Source organism: Homo sapiens, chromosome 20, assembly GCF_000001405.40.
Source record: "Homo sapiens chromosome 20, GRCh38.p14 Primary Assembly".
NCBI lineage: Eukaryota > Metazoa > Chordata > Mammalia > Primates > Hominidae > Homo > Homo sapiens.
In genome coordinates this window covers 56,331,023-56,351,890 of record NC_000020.11, presented here as the reverse complement: position 1 = coordinate 56,351,890, position 20,868 = coordinate 56,331,023, and the positions used below count along the sequence as shown (strand labels likewise).

At 44.8% G+C, this 20,868-nt stretch overlaps 1 annotated feature.

Annotated features, from left to right (window-relative positions):
* Positions 7,644-7,938: a silencer, noted in NCBI's record as "tiled region #10041; K562 Repressive non-DNase unmatched - State 4:PromP". NCBI's record gives its function as "represses a minimal TATA promoter and a strong SV40 promoter by Sharpr-MPRA in K562 cells {active_cell/tissue: K562}" and the evidence as "EXISTENCE:reporter gene assay evidence [ECO:0000049][PMID:27701403]".

Below are 20,868 nucleotides of genomic sequence, written 5' to 3'. Positions count from 1 at the left end.
GTCCTAGCCAACACCTTGATTGCAACCCTGTGAGAGACCCTGGGCCACAGGCACCCAGCTAAGCCATGCCTGGATTCCTGACTCCCAGAAGCTGAGATTATAAATGTCATTTCAAGCTGCTAAGTTGGGAGAGAGGACAGAGTCTTGCTCTGTTGCCCAGGCTGGAGTGCAATGGTGCGATGTTGGCTCACTGCAACCTCTGCCTCCCAGGTTCAAGCGATTCTCCTGCCTCAGCCTCCTGAGCGTAGCTGGGACTACAGGCACATGCCACCACGCCTGCCTAATTTTTGTGTTTTTAGCAGAGATGGGGTTTCCCCATGTTGGGCAGGCTGGTCTCCAACTCCTGACCTCAAGTGATCCATCCGCCTGGGCCTCCCAAAGTGCTGGGATTACAGGTGTGAGCCACCGCGTCCGGCCACTGTTTTCATTTTAAAGATCACGAATGTGTTTCCTGTCAAAACCGTAATTGTGGAACATTATTTTAAAATCTGTAGAGCATTTTGTCATATGGATACACCATGATTAATCTAATCTCCTGGAGATGGATATATAGGTGATTTCCTCAGGTTTTTTTTTTTTTTTGCTACTGTAAGTTGAAATTAACTGTCAAATCTACTAGACTTTGTCCAGTCTCCATTTTTCATGACGTTTTGTAATAACAAATCCTGTTAGTAATCCTCTTCTTGAAATATTCTTGTTCACTCATTTATTCATTCATTCACCACATACTTGCTGTGTGCTGATCATGTGTGTGGTTTGTGTCCATCACGCAGTACCTACTCATTCTTCTCCCTCTGTGGTTAACTGGCAGGGTCTTTGGAGGCAAACGGGTCAGAGTTGCCTTCCAGAGGGCATAACTACTGGCTGAGTGGCCAGAGGGAAATGATGTAAACTCCTTGAACCTCAGATTTCTTACTCTGTAATATACAAATAATGACAAATGCCTCAGTGGCTTCCTGCAAGGATTAAAAGCAACCATATGTGTGCAGGACAGGCAGGATATCAGCACTCACAAGGCTTTCCTCCTTGACCCACTTCATCCTTCTCCACACAAATGACCTTGTAGGCCACATGGAAAGGAGGAGGGCAGAGGAGGACACCTGGATTCCAGGCCCCTTCAGACCACTTCTCAGTTGGCCACTGTGGAAGCACCAGCTATAGGTCTCTTGTAGAAGGGAACATGTACATTTATTCCTTTGTTCGGCAACTATTTTAAAAATTTTTTTTCACCTCCTTGTGGTCAGTGTGCAATTCAGCAACTATTAATTGAGCATCTGCAAGGCGCTGGGCACAAAAGAAGACAGAGCAGGAACACAGGCCGGTGGCCCTTGTCCGCGAGATGGCATACAAAAAGAACCCTTGAGCTTCTCCATTGCCAGGACAGAGGACTCACTCTGCCCCTTAAGCTGGTGTGGAGAACATCACCAGTGATAACTACCACCGCCCACTTCAGGACAACCCCTTTCTCCTCGCAGCCTGCCTTGGGGGAGCTCTGTCCCTGTTTGAACTTGGACCGATTTGGATGGTCATTTGTGTTTTCCTTCATTGCTTTGGGAGAGTTGCGGCTAAGAACATTGGCCACAGGGACAGACCTGAATTGGATTCTGCCTTAGCCACTAACTCACTGTGATGCCCTAGTAGATCCCTTTCCCTTGCTCAGCTTCGTAGCCCCCTCTCTGCAATGACGATGGTTATAGTACACACCTCTCAGTGCTGTTGCGTGGCTCGCATTGGGTGACATCTTTAGTGTGTGTAGGCTAATGCTTGGCACTTGGTAGGAACTCAGAAAATGTGACTTAGACAAATTCTGATTCCTCTTGGCCAGGTTCCTGCCTGGTTGAGTTTTTTCTTTTTTGTTTCCTTGCTTTGGGGCTAAGGGCATTTTATGGCTTTGGATTAAGAGCTGAGACTTTGGGGTCAAGGCCATCTAGAGTGTGTCCCCACTTTAGCCTCCAATAACTATGTGACTAGGCAAGTCACTCAACATCTTGGAGCCTCCGTTTTCTCATCTGTAAACTGGGGATATTAATAGTACCCAACTCATGGGGTGGTTGTGAGAATTAAGCGAGTTAATGCACCTAAGGTGCTTGGTACAGGGCCTGGTGTGCACACTGCCTTCTGGAAACTAACCATAGAATGTGCTATGACCATTTTTGGTTTTCTTCATCCACTCATTCTGAGAAGAGTGTGGAAGGCTTTGGGATGGGTGCAGGGGTGCAGTGCACAGGACCTGAGCTGTCCAATCTGATGAGACCACTCAGGGAGAGATGCTACTTATAAAAACACCACTGTGGCCCAGGCGCAGTGCCTCATGCCTGTTATCCCAGCACTTTGGGAGACTGAGGTGGGCAGATCGCTTGAGCTCAGGAGTTTGAAACCAGCCTGGACAACATGACGGGACCCCGTCTCTACCAAATATACAAAAAATTAGTCTGGCGTGGTGGCAGGCGCCTATAATCCCCAGCTATTCACTACTTGGGAGGCTGAGATGGGAGCATCACTTAAGCCTGAGAGGCAGAGGCTTCAGTGAGCCGGGGCAGCGCTACTGGCCACTTCGCTCCACTTTGCTCCAGCCCTGGGGTGACAGAGCGAGGCTCCATCTCAAAAAAAAAAAAACAACAACAAAAAAAAAAAACAAAAAAAACACAAAGAATCCCAAAAACAAAAAAAACAAAAACAAAACAAACAAACAAACAAACAAAAACAAAAAAACAACCCATCACTGTGAAAATTGAAAATTGGTAGCTTATTGGAGGATTGAGGTGCTGATACTGAACATTCTGAGAATCTTCTCTGCAGTGCTTTTGAGATAGAAAGGGATAAATTCTCAGTACTTAGAAAGGACCTAGGTAACTGGGAGTGTGAGTTCTGAAGGTATTCTTTATTTTGCATGATGTCTGCAGAGGCTGCTAATGACAATGTCTGAAGTAGTTACTAATAACGATCTGAAGCATACTGACTCGTGTCTGAGAAGCATGGGGATTAACAGGAAATGAAATCCTGATCTGTAAAGCAAACCAGTTCCTGTTCTATTAGCAATTGTAGAGTTTTTAAAAGCTCAATTTTTTTTATTATAATAAGTGAGACTTGCTCATTGTTAAAGAAAAAATTCAAACGACATTGGGAGTTGGTTTATTTATTTATTCCATAAACATGTTTTGAATGCCTACTCAATGCCAGGCACAATGCTGGGGACGGCTGTGAACAAGAAGGACAAAAAGCCTATGGATCTTATGCTGTACTAAGGAAGAGATGTTGAGGAAATATAATGAAAGACAAAATCCCCTGCCAAGCCAGGAAGCCATTCCACAAAAGTAGAAAAGAAAGAACACAGTGTTATCAGTGAGTAAATATTAAGCCAGAATGCAATGCACGTCACTGGCAATCTGCTCAAAAGCTGCAAAGACAGCAAGAAATCTCACCCTTTCATGTAGCCAAGCAGATACGACCCATTACATCCGTGTTCCCGAGATCAACAATATGCAACCCTCAAGCAAGGGGATTTGACAGCACATTTATCACACATAGTTTATCTTACATTCACTTGGTAATTGGGGTGGCTGATTTGTGCTTCTTAATTGTCGTTATTCAAAGGAATAACAAACTTCTTATATCTCTGTGACAAGGACATAGTTATAACTTGCAGCTAGTCACCTAAATTTAATTCTCATCTAGACTGGAAGATAGGAGGACGACCTTCCTTGATGTTCACATTTCAAAGTGAAGGCTCTTAGACCCGTAAGAAAAACATTCCTGGGTTGTAAAACCTGCAAGAGGCTTATCTAGCCTTTAAAGAGATTTACATCTCAAAAGGCCAGAGGAAGAATGGATAATTACATGTTTTCTCAAGGAAATGCTCTAACAGAAAGAGGGGGTCTTTTTCTCTTTTTACATCAGAGAAAATTTTATTTTTCTTTCGCAATTTGTATTCACCCTTACAGAGACAGGAATTAAACAAATAAATATGTGCTATAATGAGGAAGCTGAGCAAAGGCCCGGAGCGTGACAGGAGATGTTCTGAAGGGCAGTCGGGGTCTCACTGAAGAGCGAGCACCACTTGCCCAGAGCCTGGAGGGAGGGTCCAGGGGAGGCCGCAGCAGTGGCCAGTCAGCCGCTTGCGGTGTGTGTTTCCAGCCATGTTGCTACGTATGAACAATCATACCTGGTTGTTGCTTTGTTTGATTTTTCCCCCAAATGGGATTAAAACATGTTGATCTCTATTCGCTTATTCACCCACTGTCCTATCGGGATATCTGTCCATGCTGGTAAAGGCAGAGGGGCTTAATCTTTCTTCCTTTCTTTTTTTTTTTGAGATGGAGCCTTGCTCTGTCGCCCAGGCTGGAGTGCAGGGGCGCGATCTTGGCTCACTGCAACCTCCACCTCCTGGGTTTAAGAGATTCTGCTGCCTCAGCCTCCCGAGTAGCTGGGGTTACAGGCGCGCACCACCATGGCTGGCTATATATATATATACACACACACACGTATATATATATACACGTATATATACGTGTATATATATATATACACACACATATATATACACACACACACGTATATATATACACACATATACGTATATATGTATATACGTATATATACTTATATACACATATATACATATATACGTGTGTATGTGTGTGTGTGTGTATATATACACATATATATGTGTGTGTGTGTATATATATATATATATATATATATATGTAGTATTTTCAGTAGAAATGGGGTTTCACCATGTTGGCCAGGCTGGTCTTGAACTCCTGACCTCAAGTGGTCCACCCGCCTCGGCCTCCCAAAGTGCTGGGATTACAGGCGTGAGCCACTGTGCCCGGCAGCTTAATCTTTCTTTACATGGCTGCACTGCATTGTGCTAGAGTTGGTTCACCCCTTTCGTTAGTGGATGAACATTTAGGCACTGTTGCCTAGAGGCTGAGGGCATGAACACTGGAGTGAAGCTCGGGCTGAAACTCAAGTTGCACCACCTGCTTGCTGTGTGACACTGGGCCTGTTACTTAACCTGTGCCTCAATTTCCTTACATGTGTGAACGCCTTTAATCCCCCCAATAACCCCATCATGTACCCAGCACCCCATATCCAAGGTGGGTATAGTAATACTGGGTACATGATGGGGTTATTGGGAGGGTTAAATGCATTTACACATGTAAAGTGCTTAGGGTAGTGCCTGGCTCAGAGCAGGCCTACATTGGTGTTGGCTATTATTATTATAAAATATATTAAGAATTATTGATTGTCAGCACGTATGATTCTCCTATAAGGGCTTGTAGCTGTTGTATCATTAGTTCGCTCCTCAAGTATTTATAGAGTCTGTTAATTTGCCCAGCGCTATGCCAGGCGCTGGGTGATGGGGTGGACAGCTTGGCCCTTGCTCTTATGGAGCTTAGAGTTGGGTGTGGGTGATGCACAACAAACTAACAGCCAAGTGAGGAAAGCATCATGAATTGTGGTGGCATTGGGTGATCAGAAAGGCCTCATCCAGAAGGATGCACTTGCTGTGTGCAGCGGGAGAAGGAGCGCACAGGGGTTGCAGTGGGAAGAGGCTGCCAAGAATGGGGATGGCATGGCGCATTTCCAAAGGAAGAAGAGAACTTGGCGTATTGGGAGGTGGGGGCAGCACTCTGGGAAGACCAGCGTGGCAATGATGCAAGAAGCATGAGACAGCTTGGAAAAACTGCCAGAAGCCTGATCTGCAGGGCCTCATGGCCATGTGGATTTCAGCCTAGCTGCAGGGGGTAACTGTTGAGGGGTTTTAATCAGGGGAATGACACAATCCAATGACGCTTGCTGGGTAGAGAATGAGTTGGAGGAGGCAACACAGGAAATGGGAGACCCATTGAGAGGGTTGTGCAGAATTCTGGGTGAGAGAGGATGTGACTTGGGCTCTAGTGGTGACAATGTTGATGGCCTGGAGGTGGGACGAGGAAAGGAGGACCCACGGAGGCCCTAGAGACTTCACGTCCGAGCACCCAGCTGGATGGTCAGGCATTTATGGGAATTGCTGCCATATGGAAGTAAATCAAGATTGTCCCTTTGGACAAGTTGTATTCCAGGGTTGGTGTGAGACATCAGCGGACGTGTCAGGAGGCAGCTAACAGGTGAGAACCCAGGGCTCCAATCTTCTCTAAAATCACATCCTAGTCAGCTCCTCAACACTGTGGGCCAATGCTCAGACACAGGGACATTGTAAGGTGATGTTGATTCTCAGATGACCAGGGAGTGGTGTATATCTGTGTGTGTGTGCATGTGTGTGTGTGTGTATGCCCTGTCTCCCATTTATCCTTCAGCAATTTGGAAGCATTGCTCAGCAACCTCCCTCAGTCAGCCTCACAAGGTTGCAAAGGGCAATACCTTGGAAAGCATCAGGTTTGATCACAAGGGTTGTGACCCAGGTCTGTGTTGGGGAGAGAGATGGCTTGGAGCTCTGGATTCCAGCTCGACCCCCACCACTCCCCAACAACTTACTGATTTCTGGGTGTGGCAAGTGAGTGATCTGAACTCCTTAGCCCCACTCAGCTTCTCCATGTTCTCTCTATAAGATGGGGACAAATACCCAGGGCCACCCTGCCAGCGTGGCAATGAGGAACGTCATGGAAGGGTGTTGGCGGGAGTGGTGGGACAGGTGGAGAAGAAACAAAGCCACTTGATTAGTTTAGTTTCTCCTTTTTAATAGATAACCAAGAAAAATGGCAGGAAGTGGGGAGAGATTTGGTCTGCCAATATGTATCCAAGAAGAAAACCTGGCATTTGAGTTCTGGTCCTCCTGCTTGCTTGCTAGTTGACCTTGGATTAATTACTTAATATCTCTGAGTTTATTTTCTTATCAGTGAAATGGAGGTAACACTGTTCTTGAATTTATGGGAATGCTTGACATTTAAAAACGTTCCAGCCGGGCACGGTGGCTCACGCCTGTAATCCTAGCACTTTGGGAGGCAGGCGGATCACTTGAGGTCAGGAGTTTGAGACCAGCCTGGCTAACATGGTGAAACTCCATCTCTATTACAAATACAAAAATTAGCCAGGAGCGGTGGTGCATGCCTGTAATCCCACCTATTGGGGAGGCTGAGGCAGGAGGACTGCTTGAACCTGGAAGCCGGAAGTTGCAGTGAGCTGAGATTGTGCCACTGCACTCCAGCCTGGGTGACAGGGCAAGACTCCGTCTCAAAAAAACAAAACAAACAAAAAACATTCCATACACGGAAGAGTCTTAGTGCTTGGGAGATAATAAGTGCATAGCCCATGTACCTGCTACCATTTACTATGATGACAGTGAAGACTACTATTTGTTATTATTGTTATTACATTACTATTATTACATTACTATTATGCAGAGGAGTTTCAGGCCTAATTAATAAGAAGAGCTGCACTTTCTATGCCAGGCTCTGAGTGCTTGGTGCAGATGGTCACACCCCTATTGGTGTTGGAATTATCACCATTTCGATTTTGCAGATGAAGGAACTGAGGCTTGGGGAAGTTAAGGGAGGATGGGGGCAAGGGTGGATTCCTGGGATTCTACCCGACGTGGGAGGCTTCCTGAGCCACGGCTGGCCTGGGAGCTGAGTTTCTTGCAGACCCGTGCCCGGTCATTCAAACGGTTCCCATCAGCATTTCCAGCACGCTCCGAGGCTGAGAGTTGCGCGCTCGTGCAGGAAGGCAATCTGGATCTGATGGTTGCAGGGGGCTGCAGAGCTCGGCCTCGGAAGCGGGCGTTAGGGGATCAGGGCTCCGCGGGCGTCCAGCTTGGAGGTGAGCGGGGGTCCTGGCGGGGCGAGGAGCGGGTCCCGGCACCGGATGACCTTGCACCAGGCGGCCTCGCCCACGAGGTGGCGCCGCAGGCTCTGCCAAGGCTCCGACCGCGCAAGGGGAGGCGCAGCCCAAGACTTCGAGGTTTCGCGGAGTCCCAAAGGCAGCTCCTCAAGACAGCCTCGGGCAACTGAGCCTCTAGACCCTCCGCAAGCCGCAATTGCCTTTTTTGGAAGCTTGTCGTAAATTCATCAGGCTTGGGCGCTGCAGAGCTAAACAGGCAACTGACATTAACTACTCTTCTATTTTCTTTTTTTCTTAATTTTTTCCATTACATCAAAATGAGTCCCCATTTATGCACTACGTACGACTTGACACAATATCTTCAAAGAGGAATATGGCAACACAGCAGGTAGTTTTACAGATGGGGAAACTGAGAGATTATGAGTGGAGTGGAACCAACATGGAACCCAAGGCTGTTTGGCTCCCAAACTGCCCTTTTTCTAAATCCTCAGGTTATTGAATAACCTCTCCCTACTCCTCCCGCAGATTCTTCCACCAGCTATTGGCAGGGGAAGGAAATAGGGGAAGTAGAGGGAGAGATTTTCTGAGAAGTGAAAAGTGATTTCTGGGTATGGCACAACAATTGCGTTCATGGCTGGGCATGGCTTTGGGATACATTGAGGAGGGAGATCATTCTGGGATCAGGAATGGCAAGCCCTCCCTTGCCCACGGGGCCAGATGGTCGTATAAATGAGTGAAGCAGCGAGGACAAGGCTTGTGCAGGAGAAACACACCCGTCTAAGGAAGGAAGCTGCTTCTGGGCTCTAGCACATGGATACCGCTGGCCATGTGGCCTAAGGTGGCCACATCCACTGATCTCTTAAGATAACTGTATGGTAGATTGCAAAAATGGCCACAAATTCTTTCCCTCCCATCCAGGGTGGAGTCTCTTTCTCCACCCCTTGAGTCTGGGCTGGCCTAACACTTGCTCTGGCTAATAGAATACAGCAGAAATGATGGCATGTGCGTTTGAGCCCAGCCCTCAAAATGTCTTGCACCCTTTGGCTTTTGTCTTTAGAAACTAGTCCACTGTAAGATGAGACCACGTACAGCATCTCAGCCGAGGACACCCTTGGCCAGCCTGCCTCATCTGATCTGGCAGCTGACTACAAACCCATGGACAAGCCCAGCTGAGATCAGCCAGGCTGGCCCTGGCCAGCAGAACCATCTGGCTGAGCCCAGCCCAAATTGCTGAATGACAAAAACAAGAGAGAGTAAATGGTTGGTTGTTACACAGAAAATGCTAACTGATCCAAGCTGAATATCTGGGTTTTAAGAATGTAAAATCTCCTGATTTTTAAATGTTGGCAGTGAGTTTAAAAAGAAAATCCACAGGTCAAACCAAATATTTCTGAATGCTGCATGGGGCCCTGGCAATCACCAGTTTGCAAACAATGCTATAAAGCGGGGGTGTCCAATCTTTTGGCTTCTCTGGGCCACGCTGGAAGAATTGTCATGGGCCATACATTAAATACACTAACACTAACAACAGCTGATGAGTTAAAAATAATCACAAGAAAACTCATAATGTTTTAAGAAAGTTTATGAATTTGTGTTGGGCTGCATTCAAAGCCCATGCAGCCCTCAGGCTGTGGGTTGGACAAGCTTGCTATAAAGTCTATAGAATGGAATGAATCTCGTTTGGCTGCTTGCAGCAATCTTGGCATATGTAAGTCTTAGTAAATGAATAAATACTAATAGAATGTGAGTGTATGGAATGATTTCTTACACCTTATACAAAAATTAATTCAAGATGCCAAAGTGCATCAGTGTATTTATGCTTTCCTCTTGAGATATGTACCAGTGGGTGAGTTCCTTTGTTCAAGATGATCTCTGGTCCTGTTTAAAAATAGAATCTTCTCCAGGTGTGGTAGCTCATGCCTGTAATCCTAGCAATTTGGGAGGCTGAGGCAGGTGGATCACTTGAGGTCAGAAGTTCGAGACCAGCCTGGGCAACATGGTGAAACCCCGTCTCTACTAAAAATACAAAAATTAGTCAGGCATGGTGGCAGGCACCTGTAATCCCAGCTACTCAGGAGGCTGAGGCAGGAGCATTGCTTGAACTGGAGAGGCAGAGGTTGCAGTGAACCAAGATCTCCCATTCTGTGGGTTACCTGTTCACCTGATAGTAGTTTCTTTTGCTGTGCAGAAGCTCTTTAGTTTAATTAGATCCCATTTGTCTATTTTGGCTTTTGTTGCCATTGCTTTTAGTGTTTTAGTCATGAAGTCCTTGCCCATGCCTATGTCCTGAATGGTATTGCCTAGGTTTTCTTCTAGGGTTTTTACGGTTTTAGGTCTAACAGTTAAGTCTTTAATCCATCTTGAATTAATTTTTGTATAAGGTGTAAGGAAGGGATCCAGTTTCAGCTTTCTGCATATGGCTAGCCAGTTTTCCCAGCACCATTTATTAAATAGGGAATCTTTTCCCCATTTCTTGTTTTTGTCAGGTTTGTCAAAGATCAGATGGTTGTAGATGTGTGGTGTTATTTCTGAGGCCTCTGTTCTGTTCGATTGGTCTATATATCTGTTTTGGTACCAGTACTATGCTGTTTTGGTTACTGTAGCCTTGTAGTGTAGTTTGAAGTCAGGTAGTGTGATGCCTCCAGCTTTGTTCTTTCTGCTTAGGATTGTCTTGGCAATGCGGGCTCTTTTTTGGTTCCATATGAACTTTAAAGTAGTTTTTTCCAATTCTGTGAAGAAAGTCATTGATAGCTTGCTGAGGATGGCATTGAATCTATAAATCACCTTGGGCAGTATGGCCATTTTCACGATATCGATTCTTCCTATCCTTGAGCATGGAATGTTCTTCCATTTGTTTGTGTTCTCTTTTATTTCATTGAGCAGTGGTTTGTAGTTCTCTTTGAAGACATACTTCACGTCCCTTGTAAGTTGGATTCCTAGGTATTTTATTCTCTTTGTAGCAATTGTGAATGGGAGTTCACTCATGATTTGGCTCTCTGTTTGTCTGTTATTGGTGTAAAGGAATGCTTCTGATTTTTATCCTGAGAGTTTGCTGAAGTTGCTTATCAGCTTAAGGAGATTTTGGGCTGACACAATGGGGTTTTCTAAATATACAATCATGTCATCTGCAAACAGGGACAGTTTGACTTCCTCTCTTCCTAATTGAATACTCTTTATTTCTTTCTCTTGCCTGATTGCCCCAGCCAGAACTTCCAATACCATGTTGAATAGGAGTTGTGAGAAAGGGTATCCTTGTCGTGTGCTGGTTTTCAAATGGAATGCGTCCAGTTTTTGCCCATTCAGTATGATATTGGCTGTGGTTTTGTCATAAATAGCTTTTATTATTTTGAGGTATGTTCCATCAATACCTAGTTTATTTAGAATTTTTAGCATGAAGGGCTGTTGAATTTTGTCGAAGGCCTTTTCTGCATCTATTGAGATAATCATGTGGTTTTTGTTATTGGTTCTGTTGATGTGATGGATTACGTGTATTGATTTGCGTACGTTGAACCAGCCTTGCATCCCAGGGATGAAGCCCACTTGATCATGGTGGATAAGCTTTTTGATGTGCTGCTGGATTCGGTTTGCCAGTATTTTATTGAGGATTTTCACATCGATGTTCACCAGGGATATTGGTCTAAAATTCTCTTTTTTTGTTGTGTCTCTGCCAGGCTTTGGTATCAGGATGATGCTGGCCTCATAAAATGAGTTAGAGAGGATTCCCTCTTTTTCTATTGATTGGAATAGTTTCAGAAGGAGTGGTATCACCTCCTCTTTGTACCTCTTGTAGAATTCGGCTGTGAATCCATCTGGTCCTGGACTTTTTTTGGTTGGTAGCCTATTAATTATTGACTCAATTTCAGAGCCTGTTGTTGGTCTATTCAGAGATTCAACTTCTTCCTGGTTTAGTCTTGGGTGGATGTATGTGTCCGGGAATTTATGCATTTCTTTTAGATTTTCTAGTTTATTTGCATGGAGATGTTTATAGTATTCTCTGATAGTAGTTTGTATTTCTGTGGGATTGGTGGTGATATCCCCTTTATCATTTTTTATTGCATCTATTTGATTCTTCTCTCTTTTCTTCATTAGTCTGGCTAGCGGTCTATCTATTTTATTGTTTCAAAAAACGAGCTCCTGGATTCACTGATTTTTTGAAGGGTTTTTTGTGTCTCTATCTCTTTCAGTTCTGCTGTGATCTTAGTTATTTCTTGTCTTCTGCTAGCTTTTGAATTTGTTTGCTCTTGCTTCTCTGGTTCTTTTAATTGTGATGTTAGGGCGTTGATTTCAGATCTTTCCTGCTTTCTCTTGTGGGCATTTAGTGCTATGAGTTTCCCTCCACACACTGCTTTAAATGTGTCCCAGAGATTCTGGTACATTGTGTGTTTGTTCTCACTGGTTTCAAAGAACATCTTTATTTCTGCCTTCATTTTGTTATTTACCCAGTAGTCATTCAGGAGCAGGTTGTTCAGTTTCCATGTAGTTGTGCTATTTTGAGTGACTTTCTTAATCCTGGTTCTAATTTGATTGCACTGTGGTCTGAGAGACAGTTTGTTGTGATTTCTGTTCTTTTACGTTTGCTGAGGAGTGCTTTACTTCCAATTATGTGGTCAATTTTAGAATAAGTGCAATGTGGTGCTGAGAAGAATGAATATTCTGTTAATTCAGGGTGGAGAGTTCTGTAGATGTCTGGTAGGTCTGCTTGGTGCAGAGCTGAGTTCAAGTCTGGTATATCCTTGTTAACCTTCTGTCTCATTAATCTGTCGAATATTGACAGTGGGGTGTTAACATCTCCCATTATTCTTGTGTGGGAGTCTAAGTCTCTTTGTAGGTCTCTAAGGACTTGCTTTATGAATCTGGGTGCTCCTGTATTGGGTGCATATATATTTAGGATATTTAGTTCTTCTTGTTGAATCGATCCCTTTACCATTATGTAATGGCCTTCTTTGTCTCTTTTGATCCTTGTTGGTTTAAAGTCTGTTTTATCAGAGACTAGGATTGCAACCCCTGTTTTTTTTTACTTTCCATTTGCTTGGTAGATCTTCCTCCATCACTTTATTTTGAGCCTATGTGTGTCTCTGCATGTGAGATGGGTCTCCTGAATACAGCACACTAATGGGTCTTGGCTCTTTATCCAATTTGCCAGTCTGTGTCTTTTAATTGGGGGCATTTAGTCCATTTACATTAAAGGTTGATATTGTTATGTGTGGCTGGGCACAGTGGCTCACACCTGTAATCCCAGCACTTTGGAAGGCTGAGGTGGGTGGATCACGAGGTCAGGAGATCGAGACCATCCTGCCTAACACGGTGAAACCCTGTCTCTACTAAAACTACAAAAAATTAGCCAGGTGTGGTGGTGGGCACCTGTAGTCCCAGCTACTCGGGAGGCTGAGGCAGGAGAATGGTGTGAACCTGGGAGGCAGAGCTTGCAGTGAGCCGAGATTGCACCACTGCAATCCAGCCTGGGTGACAGAGTGAGACTCCGTCTCAAAAAAAAAATATATTGTTATGTGTGAATTTATTCCTGTCATTATGAGGTTAGCTGGTTTTTTTGCCCATTAATTTATGCAGTTTCTTCATAACATCAATGGTCTTTACAATTTGGCATGTTTTTGCAGTGGTGGGTACCGGTTGTTTCTTTCCATGTTTAGTGCTTCCTTCAGGAGCTCTTGTAAGGCAGGTCTGGTGGTGACACAATCTCTCAGCATTTGCTTGCCTGTAAAGGATTTTATTTTTCCTTCACTTATGAAGCTTAGTTTGGCTGGATATTAAATTCTGGGTTGAAAATTCTTTCCTTTAAGAATGTTGAATATTGGCCACCACTCTCTTCTGGCTTGTAGGGCTTCTGCCAAGAGATCCGCTGTTAGTCTGATGGGCTTCCCTTTGTGGGTAACCCAACCTTTCTCTCTGGCTGCCATTAACATTTTTTCCTTCATTTCAACCTTGGTGAATCTGATAATTTTGTGTCTTGGGGTTGCTCTTCTCAAGGAGTATCTTTGTGGTGTTCTCTGTATTTCCTGAATTTGAACGTTGGCCTGCCTTGCTAGGTTGGGGAAGTTCTCCTGGATAATATCCTGAATAGTGCTTTCCAGCTTGGTTCTGTTCTCCCCACCACTCTCAGGTACACCTGTCAAACATAGATTTGGTCTTTTCACATAGTCCCATATTTTCTGGAGGCTTTGTTCTTTTCTTTTTCCTCTTTTTCCTCTAACCTTGTCTGCTTGCCTTATTTCATTAATTTGATCTTCAATCACTGATACCTGTTCTTCTACTTGATTGAATCGGCTATTGAAGCTTGTGCATGCATCATGAAATTCTCATGCCATGGTTTTCAGCTCTGTCAGGTCACTTAAGGTCTTTTCTACACTGTTTATTGTAGTTAGCCATTCATCTAACCTTTTTTCAAGGTTTTTAGCCTGTGTGCGATGGGTTTGAACATGCTCCTTTAGCTTGGAGAAGTTTGTTATTACCGATCTTCTGAAGCCTACTTCTGTCAGCTTGCCAAAGTCATTCTCTGGGCTGGCAAGGAGCTGCAATCCTTTGGAGGAGAAGAGGCCCTCTGGTTTTTAGAATTTTCAACTTTTCTGTTCTGGTTTCTCCCCATCTTTGTGGTTTTATCTACCTTTGGTCTTTGATGTTGGTGACCTACAGATAGGGTTTTGGTATAGATGTCCTTTTTGTTGATGTTGGTGCTATTCCTTTCTGTTTGTTAGTTTTCCTTCTAATAGTCAGGTCCCTCAGCTGCAGGTCTGTTGGAGTTTGCTGGAGGTCCACTCCAGACCCTGTTTGCCTGGGTATCACCAGTGGAGGCTGCAGAACAGCAAATATTGCAGAACAGCAAAGATTCCTGCCTGATCCTTCCTCTGGAAGCTTCGTCTCAGAGGGGCAGCCGCCTATATGAGGTGTCTGTCAGCCCCTACTGGCAGGTATCTCCCAGTTAGGCTACACGGGGGTCAGGGACCCACTTGAGGAGGCAGTCTGTCTGTTCTCAGAGCTCAAATGCCATGCTGAGAGTACCACTGCTCTCTTCAGAGCTGTCAGACAGGGACGTTTAAGTCTGCAGAAGCTGTCTGCTGCCTTTTGTCCATCTATGCCCTGCCCACAGAGGTGGAGTCTATAGAGGCAGTAGGCCTTACAAAGCTGTGGTGGGCTCCGTCCAGTTCAAGCTTCCGGGCTGCTTTGTTTACCTACTCAAGCCTCAGCAATGGCGGATGCCCCTCCCCCAGCCAGGCTGCCACCTCGCAGTTTGATCTCAGACTGCTGCGCTAGCAGTGAGCAAGGCTCCATGGGCATGGGACCTGCCAAGCCAGGCACAGGAGAGAATCTCCTTGTCTGCCGATTGCTAAGACCTTGGGAAAGGTGCAGTATTTGGGCAGAGTGTCTTGTTTTTCCACGTACAGTCTGTCACGGCTTCCCTTGGCTAGGAACGGGAAATCCCCTGACCCCTTGCACTTCCCAGGTGAGGCGATGCCCTGCCCTGCTTTGACTCACCATCTGTGGGCTGCACTCACTGTCCAACCAGGCCCAGTGAGATGAACCAGGTACCTGTGTTGGAAATGCAGAAATCACCCATATTCTGCATCGATCATGCTGGGAGCTGCAGACCAGAGCTGTTCCTATTTGGCCACTTTCTCTGTTTTTTTTTTTTTTTTTTTTTTTTTGAGATATGGTCTCACTCTGTTGCTCACGCTGGAGTGCAATCATAGCTCACTGCATCCTCAACCTCCCAGGCTCAAGCAATCCTCCTGCCTCAGCCTCTTGAGTAGCTGGGTCTGCAGGTGTGTGCCACCATGCCCAGCTAATTTTTGTATTTTTTTTTTGTAGAGATGAGGTCTTGCCATGTTGCCAAGGCTGGTCTTGAACTCCTGAGCCCAAGTGATCCACCCACCTTGGCCTTTTAAAGTGCTGAAATGATAAGAATGAGCCACCATGCCTGGCCAAGAGAAACCCATCTCTTTATCTCGCTTAGGATACTACTATTTGGAACTATCCATGCACTATGAAATACAGCCCTTCCCCAGGGTGGCTGACTCCACAGTAATAAAACTGCCTTTGCAAAAATTGTAACAGTGAGAAAATTATGAGCATGAAAGACATCTGATCTAACCAAGTCTATCTTGTCTTTAAGCTCCAAACTGCCCTTGGTCATCCCTGGGTGTGGGCCAAGCTAATTTTGGGAGAAATTTGTTTATAATTTAAATGATAATGGTCCTTCCCAAAACTAAACTGCCTTTATAAAACCATTAGAAGGCCACAAAGTTAGGATTTTGAGAGGGGCCTGAATTCTGGTAAGATGTAGGTGTAGTTAAAGGATAACCAGCCATTGTTCCAGAGGTCACAAGATTTGTAACTTCCTATCATCACTATTGTAGAACCTAAGATTGGCCTTTTAAGATGTCTTTTCAGACTTCTGCATTTCTGACAACCAGATGACTTCTGTGATTCCACAACCAATCAACAGCACCCATTCTCTAGCCCCCTGAGCACCAAACTATCTTTAAAAAAACCCTGGCTTCTAAATTTTTGGGGAGGCTGACTTGAGTAATAATTAAACCCTGGTCTCCTATTTAGCCAACTCTACATGTATTAAACTCTCTCTCTCTTACAATTCCCCTGTCTTTGGCTGTATCCAAGCAGTAGGCGAGATGAACATGTTAGGTGGTTCCAGTAAACTGCCATAGTTATTGATTTCTGTGTAACAAATTACCTTACCTTACCATGACTTAAAATAATCCTGGCCAGGTGCAGTGGTTCATGCCTGTAATCCCAGCACTTTGGGAGGCCGAGGCGGGCGGATCACGAGGTCAGGAGATTGAGATCATAGTGAAACCCCGTCTCTACTAAAAATACAAAAAATTAGCCGGGTGTGGTGGCGGGTGCCCGGAGTCCCAGCTACTCGGGAGGCTGAGGCAGAAGAATGGCATGAACCCGGGAGGCAGAGCTTACATTGAGCTGAGATAGCACCACTGCACTCCAGTCTGGGTGACAGAGTGAGACTCCATCTCAAAAAAAAAAAAATTCGAAACATTTATCATAATTTACATATTTCTGTGGGTCAGGAATTCAGAAACAGCTTAACTGGGTGGTTCTGCTTCCAGATTTTTCATGAGGTTGCAGTCAACCTGTGGACTAGGGCTACAGTTGCCAGAAGCTTTGACTGGGGGTGGATGACTCACTTCCAAGGTGGCTTCATTTATATGGTGGGTCAGCTTACTTGATCCCAGCAGGTGGAAGCTGCAGTGAGCTGTGATCATGCCACAGCACTCTAGCCTGGGCAATAGAACAAGACCCTATCTCAAAAAAAATACTGTTTAGAAACATAAAAGCAAAGGACTTATTTCAATAGAAGTTGTGAAGTGAGTAGAGAAGTGGAGAGAAAGGAATGAGAGTTAGAAGGCACCTTACCAAGACTGAGAGTCCAGAGATGCTGTGGAAAGTTGATGGAACAAGAAATAGAAGGTAGAAAGTATCATCTCGAATTCTAAGGTAATCACAAAGAAAGACTTGGGGTGGGATGGGAACCACCTGAGGGGAAGGGGATAGGAGAAAATATGGGAAGGATGGGGGAAGAGGTTGAAGGCTCTGCAAGAATGAGGCCAACTCTGACAGGATTTGAAGAATAGCAACTTTATTTTATTTTATTTTTTTTGGGACAGCGTCTCCCTCGTTGCCCTGGCTGGAGTGCAGTGGTGTGGCGTGGCGCGATCTCGGCTCACTGCAACCTCTGCCTCCTGGGTTCAAACGATTCTCCTGCCTCAGTCTACTGAGTAGGTGGGACTACAGGTGCATGCCACCTTGCCTGGCTAATTTTTGTATTTTTAGTAGAGATGGGGTTTCACCATGTTGGCCAGGCTGGTCTCGAACTCCTGACCTCAAGTGATCCACCCACCTCAGCCTTCGAAAGTGCTGGGATTACAGACATGAGCCACCACCTGTAATAGCCCGGCCTGAAGAATAGCAACTTTAGAATCTAAGGTAGTTTATTGTTTTTGCAATTCATTTGAATTTCTTTTAATGAACACTCTCTTAGCATTTAAACAGGCATGCCCTAAGTGCTCTTCAAAAAAATGTTTAAAGATCTAATTCATATACCATAAAAATCACCCTTTTAAAATGTACAGTTTAGTGATTTTAGTATACAGAAACTTGTGCAACCATCACTGCTATCTAATTTCAGAACATTTTTATCGCTCTAAAAAAATCTCATACTCATTAACAGTAATTCCCCAGGTAGTGAAATATTTATGTACTTAATATTCATTACAACTCTTTAAGGTAGGGACAATAATTATCTATCTCTTCATGAGGAGGAACTGGCCTCAGAGTTCGTAGGATGTGGAATTTGGGTTTGAAACCAGGTCATCTGGCTCCAGAGCCCATGGGTCTATAAAAAACATAGCCCACTATGTTTTTTTTTGCCACAATAAGAATTCATTTAGGCAAAACAAATAAAGGCATGTCACAGGAGAAGGAGATTCAATATGGTCAAAGGCAACATTAGTTGGCAAACAAGAAAACAAGCTTATGCAATTTAACCACTATGGGCTGGGCGTAGTGGCTCACGCCTGTAATCCTAGCACTTTGGGAGGCTGAGGTGGGTGGATTGCCTGAGCTCAGGAGTTCGAGCCCAGCCTGGGCAACACGGTGAAACCCTGTCTCTACTAAAATACAAAAATTAGCCAGGTGTGACGGCGTGCACCTGTGGTCCCAGCTACTTGGGAGGCTGAGGCAGGAGAATTGCTTGAACCTAGGGGGCGGAGGTTGCAGTGAACCAAGGTTGCATGACCGCACTCCAGCCTGGGTGACAGAGCGGGACTCCATCTCAAAAAAAAAAAAAAAAAAAAAAATTAACCACTATGTGTTGTTGCCTCTTGTTTCTCTCCTGTCTCACCCTTGATTTTTAGAAAGACCTTTTGATTTCCAATCCAGTTTTAAGCTCTCCTTCCTGTACTGTGTTAGTCCACTTTGCATTGGTATAAGAGAATACCTGAAACTAGGTAATTTATAAGGAAAAGAGGTTTATTTGGCTGCAGGTTGTACAAGCATGGCAGCAGCAGTGCTTCTAGTCAGGGCTTCAGGAAGCTTCCACTCATGGCAGAAGGTGAGGAGGGAGCAGGCGTGTCATATGGAGAGGTAGGGAGCAAGAGAGAAAGGAGGAGGAGCCAGGCTCCTTTAAACAAGCAGCTTTTGCATGAACTAACAGAGTAAGAACTCACTCATCACCAAGGGTATGGCACCAAGCCATTCATGAGGGGTTCCCCCCATGACCCAAACACCTCCCACCAGGCCCCGCCTCCAACATTGGGGATCACATTTTCAACATGAGATTTGGAGGGGACAAATACCCAAACTACATCATCTAGTCTTCTCCATCTCTATAAACACCACCTTCAATTACCTGGTTTCTCAGTTCAAAGACAGGAGTTCTATTGATTCTTTCCTTTTCCTGTCCCTAACATCCAATCCACTGCACGTCTTGTTGACACTGCCTCCAAGTATCTTTAATCTCTTCTTCCCATCAGCACTGCTACTACCTTAATCCAAGCCATCACCACCTTGCACCTGGGTTTCAGCAAAAGCTTCTCACCTAGTCTTTCTGCTTCCATTCTCACCCCTATCCACCCCAGCCCCTCAGTCTGTTCTCTGACAGCAGCCAGAACAAACTTCGAAAAGGCAAAGGCCACCCATTCTGCTTAAAACTCATACATAAGATATGGGAGGAGGGAAATTTTAGGATCACAGGCTCTGAGATGGAATCCACAGAATCCACTCCAGCCTGCTTAGATTAAGGCATTTTGTAAAGGATGTTAGGAGGTACCCAGAGCCTTTGGGAGATGACGGATCTGAAGAAACAGGTGTAGGGCTAGGCTTCCAGGAGTTCTGGAGAACTACCTTGATAGAGAAAAACTGCTCATAGCCACACCCAGGCTGCCAGAAAATTCATGTTTCTGCAGTGCCTCTCGCTGCCACTGCTACCACCATCTGCACTAGCAAAGTAGTTGGGCCATGTGCAGCCTATTTCCTCACACTGCAGACTTCTGAATCAGAATCTCACGTATGTTAACCTGCCCCAGCTGCAACAGAAGCAGGGTAGGTGGATGCTACCATGGGAAGGCAGGGCTTTCAGTGTAATTGCCTGATGGATTCCCCTCGCCCACTGCACAGGCAGAGCTGATTTGCTGACAGAAGTATTGCAGTAAAGAAAGAGTTTAATTAATGCAAAGTTAGCCACGTGAAAGGACAAGGGTTTATTACTTGAATCAGTCTCTCTGAAAATTTAGAGACCGGACTTTTAAAGGATGATTTGGTGGGCAGGGGACTAGGGAATGGGTGCAGCTGATTGGATCGGGATGAAATCACAGGGGTGTGGAAGGCGGTCCTTTTGTCCTGAGTCAGCCTCTAGGTAGGGACCACAGGACTAGTTGAGTCAGGAGTCCTAGATCTGGGGTGAGGTCATTCGTTTGGAGAAATGCAGAAGTCTGAAAAAATCTCAAAATACCAATCTTAGGTTCTACAATAGTGATATTATCTATAGGAGTGATTGGAGAAGTTACAAATCTTGTGACCTCCAGAACAATGGCTGGTTATCATTTATGCCTACATCTTGACAGAATTCAGGCCCCTCTCATAATCCTATTCTTGTGGCCTTTAGTTAGTTTTTTTTTTTTTTTAACAAAGGCAGTTTTAGTCTTGAACAAGGTTGGGGGTAGTTTTGGGAAAGGCTATTGTCATCTTTGCTTTAAGATGAAACTATGGACTAAATTCCTCCCAAAGTTAGGTTGGCCTATGCCCAGGAATGAACAAGGGCAGCTTAGAGGTTAGAATCAAGATGGAGTCAGTTATGTCAGGTTTCTCTTATTGTCATAATTTTTAAAGGCAGTTTCATCGATGCAGCCTGAAACCACCAAAAGGTGAAAACTAAAATTTTGCCTTGCCACCATTACAAATATGTGTGCAAATCATATTCCATGGCCAACAAGCAAACATATTGCACCAGAAAACAAACCAATATACCAGGTAACCCTGTTTAGTTTTAGCACTCAAAATAAATGGAACTTTGAGGATTTTACATAGGTTATTGACTCCCTA